Source organism: Homo sapiens, chromosome 18 (assembly GCF_000001405.40).
Source record: "Homo sapiens chromosome 18, GRCh38.p14 Primary Assembly".
NCBI lineage: Eukaryota > Metazoa > Chordata > Mammalia > Primates > Hominidae > Homo > Homo sapiens.
This window is the reverse complement of record NC_000018.10, coordinates 12966262-12984390: the sequence shown is the minus strand read 5'-3', so window position 1 is coordinate 12984390 and position 18129 is coordinate 12966262. Positions and strand designations below refer to the sequence as shown.

At 46.4% G+C, this 18129-nt stretch overlaps 1 protein-coding gene across 9 annotated transcripts in view; it reads right to left on the bottom strand.

The window, feature by feature from the left end:
• Nucleotides 1-18129, bottom strand: part of SEH1L (SEH1 like nucleoporin) — a 39526-nt gene that overhangs the window by 3146 nt on the left and 18251 nt on the right. For 7 of the 9 annotated variants that reach the window (XM_011525744.2, NM_031216.4, XM_017026025.2 and 4 more), the window contains 4 exons: nt 13140-13238; nt 5499-5639; nt 1716-1873; nt 201-351 (listed from right to left, as the gene is read on the bottom strand). In XM_011525744.2, coding sequence (XP_011524046.1) covers nt 201-351; nt 1716-1873; nt 5499-5639; nt 13140-13238 — 549 coding nt within the window. Of the gene's footprint in view, nt 1-200; nt 352-1715; nt 1874-5497; nt 5640-8508; nt 8659-13139; nt 13239-18129 lie in introns of those variants that run through there. The other 2 variants (XR_007066232.1, XR_007066233.1) reach the window with 1 other exon arrangement.

Genomic DNA, 18129 nt, shown 5'->3' with positions numbered 1-18129 from the left:
TGACTTCATAACCTACCTGCAAATATTATGACCAAGTAAGCCAAATACATAGCTAACAAAATGAATTCTTAAATGCTAATACAAGCACATGTGAACATTTCCACTCCATCTTATAATCCATGAAATAATCCACCTTAAGTATGGCTACCAGAATGATTTAAAACAAAGATGATTTCCAGTTTTCCCATGAAGCAGCCTACCTGCCAGCAGAAGATCCATTTAATGAATTCTGAAGACTTGGAATAGTTGAACCTAGGGAAGGATTTGAGGTTCCCTGCTGAGAACTCCCATTGACTGGGCTCCCATTACCTTTCAAAATACCAGTACACTTCCAATTGTCCATATAATTAGCTGAAAGGAAAATAATCAAATACATTAACATGATTAATACCAATGCCTAAGGGCACAAATCTGTACCCATGTCCTTAAACTACAATTAAAGAAACGAGACAGAGGCTATGAGCTACATTTCTTTCAGGATAAACATTAAAGACACTTTTTAAATGAAAGACATATTATCTCAGTTTTAACAACTTTTTAGAAGTTTTCAAAGTATCACTAATTTTAAAAATATAAAGCTTTCACCACCCATCTTACAGATACTAGCAAAGACAATTCTCTGAGCTACCACATTATGAAGTTAATATTAAAATCTTCATTATAATATTAAAGTCTTCATTATAATGAATTTCACTTACATATGTATGTAAGGTAATGAAGTTGTCTTCTTAATTATGCAAGTATAAGTTATAAGGGTACCTATCATGTCTTCTGAAATGGATGTAGGTAACAAAACCTTTGGAGCTTCAGTGGCTTATCCAAAATGGCCTTATTAGTTTGAATGAAAAATTGGTCTCTGAAGACAATGAGCCCAAGAAAATCAAGTTAGGCACCCTGCTGGGGAGCATGGCAAGGTGGTCCTGAATAAAGCCTAAAGGCAGAAAAGGACAGCAAAGCCCCTAAAATCAAATTACACTGAGGAAAGGAAGGTCTGGGCTGGTTTTACCAAAGCCCAAAATTGAACATGGGAGGCCCTCAAGCTTACCCAAACTGCACTTTGGGAAACAATAACTGCTAAATGGCAAATAAACAAAGATAGCTATAATTCTGAATGCTAAGTATGGGACACCATTCTATGGTGGTGCACAAATCACAGACATCTCTGCCTAATGGATAATCATCCAAGGAGAAGTGCAGAACCAAGCTACAGAGACCACAGTCAGTGTCAACTGACCAGACCTTCTCACTCAGCCTGGCACTTAGAAGAAACTTACAATCAGGGCCCCCAAGGCTCTTAACTTATGGGAGCTGCAGAGAAGAAGCAGGGAAGATACTGGATTTTCTCCTATTAAGGATGGATTGTCTAAAGCAATTTATTTGATAAAAAAGGAGCCACTACAGTCCTAGCCTGAGTTTGTAGAGCAGTCATGTAAGGTACATATATGACAACTGGTATCTTTTTATTGGAGATATTGCATATTCTGTTGTAATTACTTTAGTTTTGAAAACTGCTCTGTTCCACATAACTTAAAAAACAATTCAGTCATTAACTTCTATGAACTAGGTAAACTGATGTTCAAAATAACATAAATTAATATGACATTAAAAGTAACTGTAAAAGACCATTTTCAAAAAATATTTCAGAGTTTACATTTTAAGTAAAAATTGCAGAGCAGAAATATAAACCAACAATTACCCCTTCACTGAACTCTTACCTTTCCACAATCTTACACACCCATCATCTCCTGAAGATGCTAGCACCGTTCCTGTTATATTCCAACTCACTCGCCAGACCTGAGAATTATGATTATCGAACTGAGCCACTATATGGATTTCAAACTTTGTTGGCCCACCAGAGGAAGTCAGTTCTTTCCTGTTAATAAAAAACATTTTCTGAGGCATTCCAAACAAAGTTTTAAAACATATATATATACACACACATATATATATACACACGTAAAATTCTAAATTAATACAAGTGGTCTCGCCACCACATCACTTTATAATAATGTGCACATCTGCCCAAACCCCACACCTTGGCCCTTGAGCTGGGCCAATGTCATTTTCATTTAACTCGCCAAGACCTGGAGTGATCCCAGCACATAAATGATACTCAGTGACTGTTTCATGGAAGAAAGAAACAACAAAACAGGATGATTTTATTCTCCCACACAAGGCAGAAGAATAAAATAGATGACAATAATTAATTTAAAAAGGCAGGGCAAGGCCAGGTGCAGTTGCTCACACCTGTAATCGCAGCACTTTGGGAGGCCAAGGTGGACAGATCACTTGAGGCCAGGAGTTCAAGACCAGCCTGGCCAACATGGCGAAACCCCATCCCTACTAAAAATACAAAATAAAAAATTAGCCAGGCATGGTGGCGGGCGCCTGTAGTCCCAGCTACTCAGGAGGCTGAGGCATGAGAATTGCTTGAACCTGGGAGGTGGAGGTTGCAGTGAGCCAAGATCAAGCCACTGCCCTCCAGCCTGGGCAACGGAGTGAGACCTTGCCTCAAAAAAAAAAAAAAAAAAAAAAAAAAATGGGCAGGGCAGCAAGTAGGAAAGAATGAAAGAATGGAAAGAAAAGAACTGAAATTCACAATTCAAAATTAAAGTTAAATATGTTATTCACAAGACTGTCTCAATACTAATTTAGTTTTCCCTAAATAGACTGCCACTTGTCATTAAATATTTATAGATTATCAGTTATATTTGGAGAATTGTTAGTTTCAGCCTAAATAAAGCACAGTTAAGAGAATATAAATCTGCTCTTGACTCAATTCCCCTTTCCAAAAAGACATATATTTATATATAAAATGTTCATTAAATAATCCATTCTTCAAAAATGACATTAATTTAAAAGTAACTGTAGGTGTTGGCCGGGCTGGTCTCCAGCTCCTAACCGCGAGTGATCCGCCAGCCTCGGCCTCCCGAGGTGCCGGGATGGCAGACGGAGTTGCATTCACTCAGTGCTCAATGGTGCCCAGGCTGGAGTGCAGTGGCGTGATCTCGGCTCGCTACAACCTCCACCTCCCAGCTGCCTGCCTTGGCCCCCCAAAGTGCCGAGATTGCAGCCTCTGCCCGGCCGCCACCCCGTCTGGGAAGTGAGGAGCGTCTCTGCCTGGCCACCCATCGTCTGGGATGTGAGGAGCCTCTCTGCCTGGCTGCCCAGTCTGGAAAGTGAGGAGCGTCTCTGCCCGGCCGCCATCCCATCTAGGAAGTGAGGAGCGTCTCTGCCCGGCCGCCCATCATCTGAGATGTGGGGAGCATCTCTGCCCGGCCGCCCTGTCTGAGAAGTGAGGAGACCCTCTGCCTGGCAACCGCCCCGTCTGAGAAGTGAGAAGCCCCTCCGCCCGGCAGCCACACCGTCTGAGAAGTGAGGAGCCCCTCCGCCCGGCAGCCACCCCGTCTGGGAAGTGAGGAGCATCTCCGCCCGGCAGCCACCCCGTCCGGGAGGGAGGTGGGGGTCAGCCCCCCGCCCGGCCAGCCGCCCCGTCCGGAAGGGAGGTGGGGGGGGTCAGCCCCCCGCCCGGCCAGCCGCCCCGTCCGGAAGGGAAGTGGGGGGGTCAGCCCCCCGCCCGGCCAGCCGCCCCGTCCGGGAGGTGAGGGGCGCCTCTGCCCGGCCGCCCCTACTGGGAAGTGAGGAGCCCCTCTGCCCGGCCAGCCGCCCCGTCCGGGAGGGAAGTGGGGGGTGTCAGCCCCCCGCCCTGCCAGCCACCCTGTCTGGGAGGTGAGGGGCGCCTCTGCCCGGCCGCCCCTACTGGGAAGAGAGGAGCCCCTCTGCCCGGCCAGCTGCCCCGTCCGGGAGGGAGGTGGGGGGGTCAGCCCCCCGCCCGGCCAGCCGCCCCGTCCGGGAGGGAGGTGGGGGGGTCAGCCCCCCGCCCGGCCAGCCGCCCCGTCCGGGAGGGAGGTTGGGGGATCAGCCCCCCGCCCGGCCAGCCGCCCCGTCCGGGAGGGAGGTTGGGGGGTCAGCCCCCCGCCCGGCCAGCCGCCCCGTCCGGGAGGGAGGTGGGGGGGTCAGCCCCCCGCCCTGCCAGCCGCCCTGTCCGGGAGGTGAGGGGCGCCTCTGCCCGGCCGCCCCTACTGGGAAGTGAGGAGCCCCTCTGCCCGGCCAGCCGCCCCGACCGGGAGGGAGGTGGGGGGGCCAGCCGCCCCGTCCGGGAGGGAGGTGGGGGGGTCAGCCCCCCGCCCGGCCAGCCGCCCCATCCGGGAGGTGAGGGGTGCCTCTGCCCGGCCGCCCCTACTGGGAAGTGAGGAGCCCCTCTGCCCGGACAGCCGCCCTGTCCGGGAGGGAGGTGGGGGGGGGTCAGCCCCCCGCCCGGCCAGCCGCCCCGTCCAGGAGGGAGGTGGGGGGGTCAGCCGCCCGTCCGGGAGGGAGGTGGGGGGGTCAGCCCCGCGCCCGGCCAGCCGCCCCGTCCGGGAGGTGAGGGGCACCTCTGCCCGGCCGCCCCTACTGGGAAGTGAGGAGCCCCTCTGCCCGGCCAGCCGCCCCGTCCGCGAAGGAGGTGGGGGGGTCAGCCCCCCGCCCGGCCAGCCGCCCCATTCGGGAGGTGAGGGGTGCCTCTGCCCGGCCGCCCCTACTGGGAAGTGAGGAGCCCCTCTGCCCGGACAGCCGCCCCGTCCGGGAGGGAGGTGGGGGGGTCAGCCCCCCGCCCGGCCAGCCGCCCCGTCCGGGAGGGAGGTGGGGGGGTCAGCCCCCCGCCCAGCCAGCCACCCCGTCCGGGAGGTGAGGGGCGCCTCTGCCCGGCCGCCCCTACTGGGAAGTGAGGAGCCCCTCTGCCCAGCCACCACCCCGTCTGGGAGGTGTACTCAACAGCTCATTGAGAACAGGCCATGATGACAATGGTGGTTTTGTGGAATAGAAAGCGGGGAAAGGTGGGGAAAAGATTGAGAAATCGGATGGTTGCCGTGTCTGTGTAGAAAGAAGTAGACATGGGAGACTTTTCATTTTGTTCTATACTAAGAAAAATTCTTCTGCCTTGGGATCCTGTTGATCTGTGACCTTACCCCCAACCCTGTGCTCTCTGAAACATGTGCTGTGTCCACTCAGGGTTGAATGGATTAAGGGTGGTGCAAGATGTGCTTTGTTAAACAGATGCTTGAAGGCAGCATGCTCGTTAAGAGTCATCGCCACTCCCTAATCTCAAGTACCCAGGGACACAAACACTGCAGAAGGCCGCAGGGTCCTCTGCCTAGGAAAACCAGAGACCTTTGTTCACTTGTTTATCTGCTGACCTTCCCTCCACTATTGTCCTATGACCCTGCCAAATCCCCCTCTGGGAGAAACACCCAAGAATGATCAATAAAAAAAAAAAGAAAGAAAAAAAAGTAACTGTAAAAGACCATTTTTAAAAAACATTTCAAAGTTTACATTTTTAAGTAAAACTTCCAGAGCAGAAATATAAACCAAATCATAGTTACCTCTACTCTCTCCTCCACAAACAAAGGTAATCAGAAGGCAAGAGTATTTTCAAATTCATAAATGCTTCTAAAACTCACCTCACAGGCTTTAATGTAAAAATTCTCACATCTTTGGTCGCTATTGCTAGAATATGGAAAGATCTTCCCAAATTTGGAGCGAATGCAATATCATGAACAGGATCAGTGACTGTCATAAGAGTTTCAGCTTTTGCATATTTCCTAATGGAAAAACAATTGACATTAACATTTTAGAAATAAAATGTGCAAAAATCCACACATCACTGCATCTCACCTTTTTTTCACACTGCTCACAATCATGTAGTGCTCACCTCTGTAGTGGGCTCAACAGCAGCCCCCAAAAGAATATGTCCAAGTCCTGACCCCCAGACCCTGTGAATGTGACCTTATTCAAAAATAGCGTCTTTGAAAATGTAATTAAGGACCTCAGAATGACATCCGAGATTTAGGGTGGGTCCTAAATCCAACGTGCAGTAAGTATTCTTTAAAAAGAAGAGAAGAAACGCAGAGACAGAGAGGAGGCAGCCATGTGAACACAGAGGCAGAGATTGGAGTTATGCTGCCACAAGCCAAAGAACTCCCGGAGCCAGCAGGAGCTGGACTAGACCAGGAAGGATTCTAGAGGAAGCACAGCCCCAACACCTTGATTTCAGACTTCCGACCTCCAGAACTGTGAGTGAATACATTTCTGTGTTAAGCCACCTGATTTGTGGTAATTTGTTATGGCAGCCCTAGGAAATTAATACAACCTCCCACGTTTCCTCCTTTAATAATGTACATTTAGCTCGAAACGCTTTAATAAAAATTTAATTACAATAAGGTCTTGGCTGGCCACAGTGGCTCACACCTGTAATCCCAGCATTTTGAGAGGCTGAGGTGGGAGAATTGCTTGAACCCAGTAGTTCAAGACCAGCCTGCGCAACACAGCAAGACCCCATCTTTACAAAAAATACAGAAATAGCTGGGCATGGTGGTGCACACCCATTGTCCCAGCTACTCAGGAGGCTGAGGTGGGAGGATGGCTTGAGCCCAGGAGGCGGAGGTTGCAGTGAGCTGAGATTACGCCACTGCACTCCAGCCTGGGCAACACAGTAAGACTCAACTGCAAAAATAAAAAATAAAAAAGGGCTTGATTTATTAGCCACTAACATCTTTCTTAGGAAAAGAGTAACACATTGCCTAAGTATTTGAATGTAAATAAAAAAGTAAAGCTGGTAACAGGAATTGAGGTTTTTTTGAGACAGTTTCACTCTTGTGCTGGAGTGCAATGGCGCAATCTTGGCTCACTGAAACCTCCGCCTCCTGAGTTCAAGTGATTCTCGTGCTTCAGCCTCCTGAGTAGCTGGGATTACAAGCGTGCACCACTACGCCTGGCTAATTTTGTATTTTTAGTAGAGACAGGGTTTCACCATGTTGGTCAGGCTGGTCTTGAACTCCTGACCTCAGGTGATCCACCCGCCTCTGCCTCCCAAAGTGCTAGGATTACAGGTGTGAGCCACTGCGCCCAGCAGGAATTGAGTTAAGTGATAATAAAAGGAAACTATGCAAAGGCTATTTCATCCTTGCAATTCTATTTCTTTATCTATAAATACAGAATAAGAGGATAATGAAGGCAGTGGTAGATCAGAGTTTTCTACTAGGTTCTTCTAAGATTGAATATCCTGGACAGAACGGCAGCACCTAACCCCCTGCATGTAGGAGACTGGGTGGAGACATCTCCCCATCCCACCTTTCTACAGCATTCTTCACTTGACCTTCTTTTCATCCCAACATTCTTCCTAAAATCTCTACCAAGCTGGTACACACCTCAAGGTTCTCTCCTTGATCTTTCTCACCCATCCAATCACCCTAAGCAATCTCATCCACATCCTTGCTTCTACTGTGTGGTCTGCAGCAGCCTGGGAGCTTCTGGGAAATCCAGAATCTCAGCCCCCTCCTGGGGCCTACACAATCAGAATATGCTTTTTTTTTTTTTTTGAGACAGAGTCTGGCTCTGTCGCCCAGGCTGGAGTGCAGTGGTGTGATCTCGGCTCACTGCAAGCTCCGCCTCCCAGGTTCATGCCATTCTCCTGCCTCAGCCTCCGGAGTAGCTGGGACTACAGGGGCCTGCCACCACGCCCGGCCAATGTTTTTTGTTTTTTTTGTATTTTTTAGTAGAGACAGGGTTTCACCATGTTAGCCAGGATGGTCTCGATCTTCTGACCTCGTGATCTGCCCACCTCGGCCTCCCAAAGTGCTGGGATTCAGGCGTGAGCCACTGCGCCCGGCCAGAATATGCATGGTTTCTACACCCATGGTTTCAGTACCTATAAACCAATAATTCCTAAATCTATCCCCTGCAATTCAGGGGATAGATTCTGGCCTTCTACCAAAGGCCAGAAATAGGACAGGTGGAGCTAAGAGCACACATGCTGCAGCCAGAACGTGTTTGAATCCAGGCTGTAACGACCTTCAGCAAGTTCTCCGTAAAGTGGGAGGAACACCCGTACTGTGGCAGAGAGATTCTAAGTGCCCCCATGACCCGCACCTCCTGGTGGTCCCGCCCTTGTGGAGGCTCCTCCCCATGAGTGTGAGTGGGGCCCGTGGCTTGTTTTCTACCCAGGGGACGGAACATGGCAAGGTGGTGGGACAACACCCGTGTGACTACAACACACAAGCCTGTGACGCCTGCCTCATGAGAAGACTCTCCTGCTTTCAGGCCTTGCAGAAGCAGCTGCCATGCTGTGAGGACACAAGGGAGGGTCTCGTGGCAGGAACACGAGTGCTGCCAACAACCAGGTGAGCTCCGAAGTGGAGTCTTTCCCAGTCTGGCCTGACTCTTGACCCACAGACATTGAAATACCGAATCTGTACTGTTTCAGCCACTGAGTGATAATGCTGTCATGCAGCAATAGACAACTAATCTCAGCTATTCTATCCATCTGCCTTTACACATCCCCACCTGGATGTTCCAAACGCACCTCAAACATATGTCTGAAATAAATTGTGCTTACCACATTCACTCCTCTTTGCTCAGTCCCCATCTCAACAAGTGGCACTACCATCAGCTAGGTCAGAAACCAAGACTCACGTGACCTACAGCTGGTGCCTCCTAGACAAGTCTCCCCGGTCCCTCTTCATCCCACGCCACAGTGCATGTCCTCATTCCACATCATAGTGGGCTACTGCATTCATCCCTGAGTTCCTGCTCCCAGTCCACACAGCTGCCAAAGTCATCTCCCTAAAAGGTAAATACAACCTTGTGACTCTACTGGACCCTGCAAAAGTCCAAATGCTGCCAGGATAGAGATCAGACTTGGCAAGCACCACTCTCCAAAATCTGCCTGGCCTGTTGGCCTGCCCCTCCCCTGTCTCTCTCCTGCATTAGCCTCCCCACCCACCGCCTCGACCCCACGCCCTTGTCTTTGCTCCTGCCTCCTCTCTGCTTGCAGAACACCCTCTGTCTTTCAAGATTCATGCTCAAACATCATCAGCTGAAACTTCTCACCCTACCAGGCAGGTATGTGCTGCCATCTCTAGCAGGTGACCATCCTCATCCATATCCTAGGCGCTGTAAGCTCCTTCAGCTCTTAGTACAGTCCATGCTGCTTATGAAATGTTGAAAAAGTGAGATTTTTTTTTTCTTACCTGAGGCAAGCTATATATTGTAATTAATTAAGGTGGCTGGGCACGGTGGCTCACGCCTGTAATCCCAACACTTTGGGAGGCCGAAGCAGGCAGATCACCTGAGGTCGACAGTTCGAGACCAGCCTGACCAACATGGAGAAACCCCATCTCTACTAAAACTACAAAATTAGCTGGGTGTGGTGGCACATGCCTGTGATCCCAGCTACTTGGGAGGCTGAGGCAGGAGAACTTCTTGAACCCAGGGGGCGGAGGTTACGGTGAGCCGAGATCACACCATTGCACTCCAACCTGGGCAACAAGAGTGAAACTTCATCTCAAAAAAAAAAATAAAATAAAAATAAAAATAATTAAGGTTATCTAAAGCTTCTCCTATCAGAAGGAGCCAAATAAGATCCTCAATGAGAGTGTAAATAAAGAGAATGAACAAAAAAGACTTTGTTTCTGGTCCTGACTCTGGACCTTAGACTAGTCATTCACTCTGTTGGTCTCAGTTTTCTCATTTGTAAAACAGTGTTAATAAAAGCTGTCTCCTCTACTTACAAGGTGGTTGGTAGGATTCAAACTTCATAACACACATAAAAATGCCCGGTAACCTATATAAACACATGGCACTTCTATTATCACTATCAATCCTAGATCTGTTTTAGTATTTTCACTCACAAATAAAAACAAATATATCCAACACTGGTTAATTTGGCAAATGTCTCCTGTCTACTAAATGGTGATACTACTTAGAAAAAGATAAACAGGCCGGGCGTGGTGGCTCACACCTGTAATCCCAGCACTTTGGAAGGCTGAGGTGGGCGGATCACAAGATCAAGAGATGGAGACCATCCTGGCCAAAATGGTGAAACCCCATCTCTACTAAAAATACAAAAGTTAGCTGGGCATGGTGGCGGGTGCCTGTAGTCCCAGCTACCGGGGAGGCTGAGGCAGGAGAATCGCTTGAACCCGGGAGGCAAAGGTTGAAGCGAGCCAAGGTTGCGCCACTGCACTCTAGCCTGGAAACAGAGTGAGACTCCATCTCAAAGAAAAAAAAAGAGAGAAAAAGATAAACAGGTATTAATAACGATACTACATAGTCCACTATCACATCTCCTCCACGTTCAATCTAAATAAGAACCTTCAAACAATGCTTACCTCAAAGAACCAGCAACAGAACTCCAAAAAGTGCTGAACTTAATAGGTTTGATTACTTCCCAAGTCAATAGCACACACCCCCACCTGCAGACACTCTTTCCCCAACACCACTTCCCCTCGTTTTTGATGCTGAAAATGCCAGACACTTGCTGTCTCACTCTCTTGCAGCTAAGGCATGGCTGGATGACCAAACTCCAGCCGCCAGCACCTGATAAGAAGCCTGCTAAGATACTTCTAGGAAAGGTGTTTTTTTCTAGAATACCCTTCTTTGTATTAGCATGTAAAACCTGACATTGTGCAGCTCTTTTGTGATCATAAGAGGGAGCTATCACCAGTGTACTAAGCATGACAGCAAGAAAAAAGTGGAAAATATTTAGGTAGGTCCTTGATGTCATCATTGAGCAACTGAGTCACTACCTAACCCCAGAACTGCTCCACCCTCAGGCTCCTTGTCACATGACATAATACAGGGAATCCCCCAGTCTAGATTTATTCTGTTAGCTAAGAGACTAGACTCAAATGCAATCTCAGATTATTTTTAACATTGGATTATTTAGGTAATTTAGAAATACTTAGGTAATTTCTAGGCCGGCCGTGGTGGCTCACACCTGTAATCCCAGCACTTTGGGAGGCCGAGGTGGGTGGATCACCTGAGGTCAGGAGTTCAAGACAAGCCTGGCCAACATGGTGAAACCCCGTCTCTACTAAAAATACAAAAATTAGCCAGGCGTGGTGGCACGCACTTGTAATCCCAGCTATTCAGGAGGCTAAGGCAGGAGAATCACTTGAACTCGGGAGGTAGAGGTTGCAGTGAGCTGAGATTGCATCACTGCACTCCAGCTTGGGTGACAGAGTGAGACTCTCAAAAAAAAAAAAAATAGGTAATTTCTATTTGCCTGTATTTTCTTTCAGAACTAACTGCAAGTTATTTATCTTTTTACTCAAATCTTACTTATGAAATATTTTCTTTTCCTATGTTTTAGAAAAAAATCTTTTTTTGACACTGCTGGAGTGAAGTGGTGCAATTTTGATTTACCGCAGCCTCGACCTCCCAGGCTCAGGTGATCATCCCACCTCAGTCTCCCAAGTAGCTGGAACTACAGGCATGCGCCATCATCCCCACAGCTAATTTTTGTACTTTTTGTAGCGAAAGGGTTTCACCATGTTGTCCAGGCTGGTCTTGAATTCCTAGACTCAAGTGATCCACCCACCTCAGCCTCCCAAAGTGCTGAGATGGCAGGCATAAGTCACCTCGCGTGGCCAATGATACACCTTTTACGTTTTTGGGCTTATGTCTACATATTCATTCTGCTCAGCTCAGGTTGAAATTTACTTTAACAAGCCCAACACTTCATGAAGCCTCTATAAAATGTGCTATTAATAGGGCTCATAGTTTTTACAGCTTAAAACTCCATGAAAATCTCTAAGACCATTTCCCATCACTGCAGCACATTCTACTGGACAGCACTGTTGAAGACTGAGCCTCTCTGCAGACACCAACAATCTAGGAAGGTAGAAGGTGTAAGATCCCCTTGGTAACCCAGATGGTAACATTTGGAATTGCAGAGCCCACGGGAGTAACACTAGTTCCTTCTCTACTGCTGGCCCTGCCTAAGATCTGACTATTAGACTCAAGAATTTTGTCTAGTACCTGCGAAGCCCATCTGATCACCTGACAAGTGCTCTCTTCTCCTGTAAGACTGAGTAGTGTGCCTCTGAGACACTGCTTTTGGCTCTCAGAAGCTTTGCAGACACTTGTATCTCGGCATGACCAAAATTAACTTACCTTCACATGCTGCCACACTCTACCCAAATCTGCCTTGTTCCCAGAGTTCCTTATCTCAAGAAATTACACACATTGAAATTACACACTGAACTCTTAAGCCAGAACCTTGGAAATCATCTTAACACCTTCCCCCTTCTTCCTCAGTTCAGTTCTCAAATCCAATCAATCACCAGATCCTATTGATACCACTTCTCAATTATTCTCAAGTTGTCCACTTATCTCCATGCCACTGCTACTACTATCCCAAAGCCACGTACTCTCCCACCTGGACTGTCTTCATAGCATCCTAGCCGTGAATCCACCATGTTTCCCTCCAAAACACTTGTCACACCTATAGAAGATCCATCTGATCCCATTATTCCCTATTCACATCACCTGTAAGATAAAACTGAAACAATGGACATTACTTCTTATAGATACAAGTCTTGCCTATTTCTCTCCACACTCATTTTTGCCCAGCATGTTCCAACAACAGTATAAATATACTCCCTCTCTCTTGCTCACGGCCTTACCACATGCAGTTTTCTCCACCAGGAGTGCTTCTGCCCTCTTTGTCTGGCTAACTTCTACTCACCCTATAGGTCATCTTCTAGGTGAACCTTCCTAGCCCCTAAACCAGATTAGGTTCCCCAGGTATAAGCTCTTTAGCACCCTAATTCTTCCACTTCATAAGATTCATCACCCTTTTTTACTATTATTTTTTGTTTCACTGCAAGATGGTACATCATACTGGGAGATCAATTACCTTCTCCTCTTTTTTTTTTTGAGGCAGGGTTTCGCTCTTGTTGCCCAGCCTGGAGTGCAATAGCGCAATCTCAGCTCACTGCAACCTCCGCCTCCTGGGTTCAAGCGATTCTCCTGCCTCAGCCTCCCGAGTAGCTGGGATTACAGGCACCTGCCACCACACCCAGCTAATTTTTTGTACTTTTAGTAGAGACGGGGTTTCACCATATTGGCCAGGCTGGTCTACTTTCTCCTCTTTATCACTCATGCCTGTGCTATCACAGCCTAGCACAGAACTTGGTATATTATAGTAAATCAGCAAACATATGATGAATGACACATAATTCTGTAAATGAATAAAGAAATAACATTTTAAAAAATTAAATGCAATTCTGAACAATTATTAAAACCAAAGCAGGACTGACCTGGTGTTTTCATTATATTCAAAAATCTGAACCTTGGCCATTGCGTTGGGGCTACTGTCATCACTTCCTACGGCGATCATGGGGGAATGAGCACGAGAGCTAGAAACGGGGAGAAAGAACATTTTAGATAACAAAAGAAATACACATTTCATTCACAGAATGAACACACTGGAGGCAAGCAGACAACCAGCTTACAGTTAGCCTGTCACACTACTAGTGAATCTAGGTCTCTGCCACATAGCTGACATGGCCACACTGCAAGTATGCACCTGAGAATGTCACACATGGGAACTGAAGATTCCATCCTTATGAACTGTTTTTAGCATATTCTTATGGCTCAGATAGAAAGGAGCTCTTTGCCTGAAAAAAGCTTTCAAGCATTCAACATATTTTTAAAAGATACTTAAGAGGTCTTAGTAATTTTTCCTCCTGAAATTTTTGGTCATTAACTATGAAACAAAAAGTAACCCTACTGTGACTAACTTCATGACAAAAAGATCTTAAGTGCTTTGACAAAAAGAAGAAACACTGCGGCAGGGTGGCTCATGCCTGTAATCCCAGCATTTTGAGAGACTCAGGAGAGAGGATCATTTGAGGCCAGGAGTTCAAGAAGAACCTGGGCCACATAATAAGACTCTATCTCTACAAAAAAAAAATTTGTTTAATTAGCCTGGTGTGGTGGCATGTGCCGTTTGTCTCAGCTACTCAGGAGCTGAGGCAGGAGGATCACTTGCGCCCAGGAGTTGGAGGCTGCAGTGAGCTATGATCGTGCCACTGCACTCTAGCCTGGGCAACAGAGTGAGAGTCTCTTTCAGAAAAAAAGAAAAGAAGAAGAAAAAACAGATGGACAGGGGAAAAGTGGAAAAGACTACCCCTGCAGAAGTCACGATCCCCACGTCATTCCCCTCCCTAGACTCATCTGTGGTCAACCTCATTTTGAAAAAGGCAAAAGATGAGCAATGAAAGAATGGCTCTCCTGAACTATAAGCTGAATGACTTTTTAATTTCTATGCCTAATTAACATAATTTCCTTTGCCTCCCTCATCCAGATTAATTAATATCTCTGTAAACCTGGCACCCTTGCTTAACCTTTAGCCTCAGTATTGTGCACTACTAACCTCTTAAAGCTAAAAACAAAATGTGGTAACTGACAAAAAAAATTAGTTCTTTATTACTAAAGCTTCAGGTAATTAGATCAAATTATCTAATTAAGAAAAGTACCAGGCAAACTACAAAATGCTACAGTAATAAAATAAAATTATAAGTTATTTATAATAATTTTTGGCCATTCAAATAGATGTAAATTCCACAGCAATTTCTGTGTCTCACAAACTTCCTTTTGCGTTTTTTTCCTGTTTTTTTGAGACAGAGCCTTGCTCTGTCACCCAGGCTGGAGTGCAGTGGCGATCTCTGATCACTGCAACCTCCACCTCCTGGGTTCAAGTGATTCTCCTGTCTCAGTCTCCTGAGTAGCTGGGATTACAGGCGTGAACCACCACACCTGGCCACAAACTTCCTTTTTCAGTGTTCTACAAATACTTGGTTTTGATTTTTTTTTTTTTTTTGAGATGGAGTCTCACTCTGTCGCCAGGCTGGAGTGCAGTGGCATGATCTTGGTTTACTGCAACCTCCATCTCCTGGATTCAAGCGATTCTCGTGCCTCGGCCTCCCAAGTGGCTGGGATTACAGGCACGCGCCACCACGCCCAGCTAATTTTTGTATCTTTAGTAAAGATGAGGTTTCACCATGTTGGCCAGGATGGTCTTGATCTCCTGACCTCATGATCCGCCCACCTCGGCCTCCCAAAGTGCTGGGATTACAGGCGTAAACAACCATGCCTGGCCAAGATTTTTTTTTTTAATTGAGACTGGAGTCTCACTATGTTGCCCAGGCTGGACTTGAACTTCTGGGCTCAAGCAATCCTCCTCCCAAGTAGCTGGGATTCCAGGTGTGCACCACCACACCCAGCTAAAAAAATGTGAGATTTTAAAAATTCTTTGTTGTTTTTTCTTTTTGGTGAGGTGGGGGGGGGGGGGGGGGCGGGTACAGAGTTTTGCTCTTGATGCCCAGGGTGGAGTGCAATGGCGTGATTTCAGCTCACCGCAACCTCTACCTCCCAGGTTCAATGATTCTCCTGCCTCAGCCTCCTGAGTAGCTAGCATTACAGGCATGTGCCACCAAACCCAGCTAATTTTGTATTTTTAGTAGAGAAGGGTTTTCTCCATGTTGGTCAGACTGGTCTCGAACTCCCGACCTTAGGTGATCTGCCCGCCTCAGCCTTTCAAAGTGCTGGAATTACGTGAGCCACCCCACCTGGCCTTAAAAATATTTTTAAATCCAGTCATGAAATGTCCAGACAGCAACCTGAATTGAGGATTACCTCAATTGTACAACCAGAACTAAGATATTCACATTTAAACCACTTTCTAAGTATGAGTCACAGCTAAACAGTGAGAAAAACCATCCAGCTTTCTGACTGAATAGTGTAGACAGATCACCTGGATCTCCGCCTCCCTCCAAAAGCCCACTGAAATGATGAAAGAATATTATCGTACAGGGCTAGAAATCTAGAAAGAGTGCCATTAGAAATCAAGAAATTTGGAGGGTTTCCAGGAAGTCAGGAAGCAGATCAGACTGAGAAAGAAAATACAAAGGAAAAAAGAGTCCGTATCACCATCAGTAAGTAGAAAATTCCAGAAGGTCCAACCTCCAATTAATAAATGCAAAGAATATAAATGAGTCACGGACAATCATGGAGTGATTTGGTCAAAAAACATTGTCTTAGTGAGACAATTAGAACTTGAAAAAGAAAAGGTAAGAGCTGGAAATAAAGGAGCACTCCAAAACCAACAGGGAAAGGGGCAGGGAGGAAGGAACTGCGCCCCAATGGTTCATCGTGCTCAACGGAAAATCTTTCTTGCTTTGTCAGTTGGAGGGTGCCCCAGCCTGCTCTTGGCTCACACATCCTTAGGAAACCCTGTCAACCCACTCCACCCATTCCACAAAATTCAGTCAGCCTCCCTAGTTGAGAGAGTAAGTTGTTAACACAACAGAGCACCCAGCAGGAGAAAAATGCCAATACCAGTTTGCTCTAATAGCAGTAACAGTCACTCACTCATAAATATAAATAAGCAAAGATCAGCAGACACCCAAGAAAAACAAGTGGCGCAGAAGATAAAGACCAAGGCACACGAAAAGAACTGATATTTGAGAAAACACATATAGCCAATCCTCACTATTTAGAGATTCTGCACTTGTAAACTGGCCTAAAATTTATTTGTAACCATAAAACCCAATTCTCTCAGGCTTTCTTTTTTTTTTTCTTTTTTTTCTCTTTTTTGAGACAGTCTCGCTCTGTTGCCCAGGCTGGAGTGCAGTGGCATCATCTTGGCTCACTGCAACCTTCATCTCCGAAGTTCAAGCGATTCTCCTGCCTCAGCCTCCTGAGTAGCTGGGAGTACAGGCGCACACCACCACGCCCATCTAATTTTTGTATTTTTAGTAGAAACAGTGTTTCGCTGTGTTGGCCAGGCTAGTCTCAAACTCCTGACTTCAAGTGATCCGCCCGCCTCAGCCTCCCAAAGTGCTGGGATAACAGGCGTGAGCCACTGTGCCCGGCCCAGGCTTTCATGGTCATTCATCGGCAGGTGCAGAGCAGCTCTGCAAAAAAATCCAGTTGCCTGATGCAGTTTCCCAGCAGAAGTGCCTTCTTCCTTTGGCTGTCATTGGTAAACGAATGTCCTTTACACAGTTTAGTCAGTTCGCCTCACGTTTTTCACATTTTTGTGTTTTTTAAAAGTGATTTCATAGTTTAAAACCCTGTGGATGCTGCTGAAGTGCTGTCTGGTGTTCCTAAACATAGGAAGGCTGGGATGTGCCTTATGGAGAAAATAGGTGTATTCAAAATGCTTTATTCAGGTCTGAGTAGTTTGTGTTGTTGGCTATGAGTTCAATGTTAGTCAATCAACAACATATAAGTTGTCTTTAAAAAGAAAGACACACAAAAAGGTTATACACTGATCAGTTGACAAAAATGTAGTGAGAGACTTGTGGAAACCCTGTATTTCCCCAAGGAGCAATTCGGTATTCAGTATTAGCTAATTCAGTGTTCATGGCAACTTTATAGAACATTGCCAGTGCAAATGATAATTGACTGTAATTCAGCAAACAAATGCAAATTTTAAAAAATCTTCACTAGAAACCACAGGGAAATAGTGTAATACATGTAACAAAAACTGGTATAAAAAAGAAGTAATCAGAGAAAAAGAAACTCTGAACAATTAAAAATGATTGCCATTCATACAAAAATTCAATGATGGGAAAAAATGTATACCTGGAGAACAAAGTGGAGATCTGGGAGATGGAGTACTAAATCTCCAAACAATTTTGTTTTAAATGGAGAGTAAATCCTGGAATAATCAAATAGGAGTGCCAGAAAGACAGAACAGAGACAAGAGAATAAAAAGAAATTATCAAAGGATCATAAGATATCCCCAATTTGAGACAATAACATTTATTTTTAAAGGGACCACTGAGTGTCAAGCAGGATTGGCCAAGTGCAGTGGCTCATGCCTGTAATCTCAGCACTTTGGGAGGCCAAGCCAAGAAAACTACTTGAGTCCAGGAGTTCAACACCATTCTGGGCAACAAGGCGAAACCCCATATCCACAAAAAATAACAAAAAATTAGCAAGGCATGGTGGTGAATGCCTGTAGTCCCAGTTACTTGGGAGGCTGTGTGTGGTGGGAGGATCACCTGAGCCCAGGGAGGTCCAGGGAGTGCCACTGCACTCCAGCCTGGGTGACATAGTGACACGTGTCTCGAAAACAAATACATAAAAAATAATAAATAATAAATGGTGGCTGGGTGCGGTGGCTCACGCCTGTAATCCCAACACTTTGGGAGGCCGAGGCCGGCAAATCACCTGAGCTCAGGAGTTCGAGACCAGCCTGACCAATATGGAGAAACCCCATCTCTACTAAAAATATAA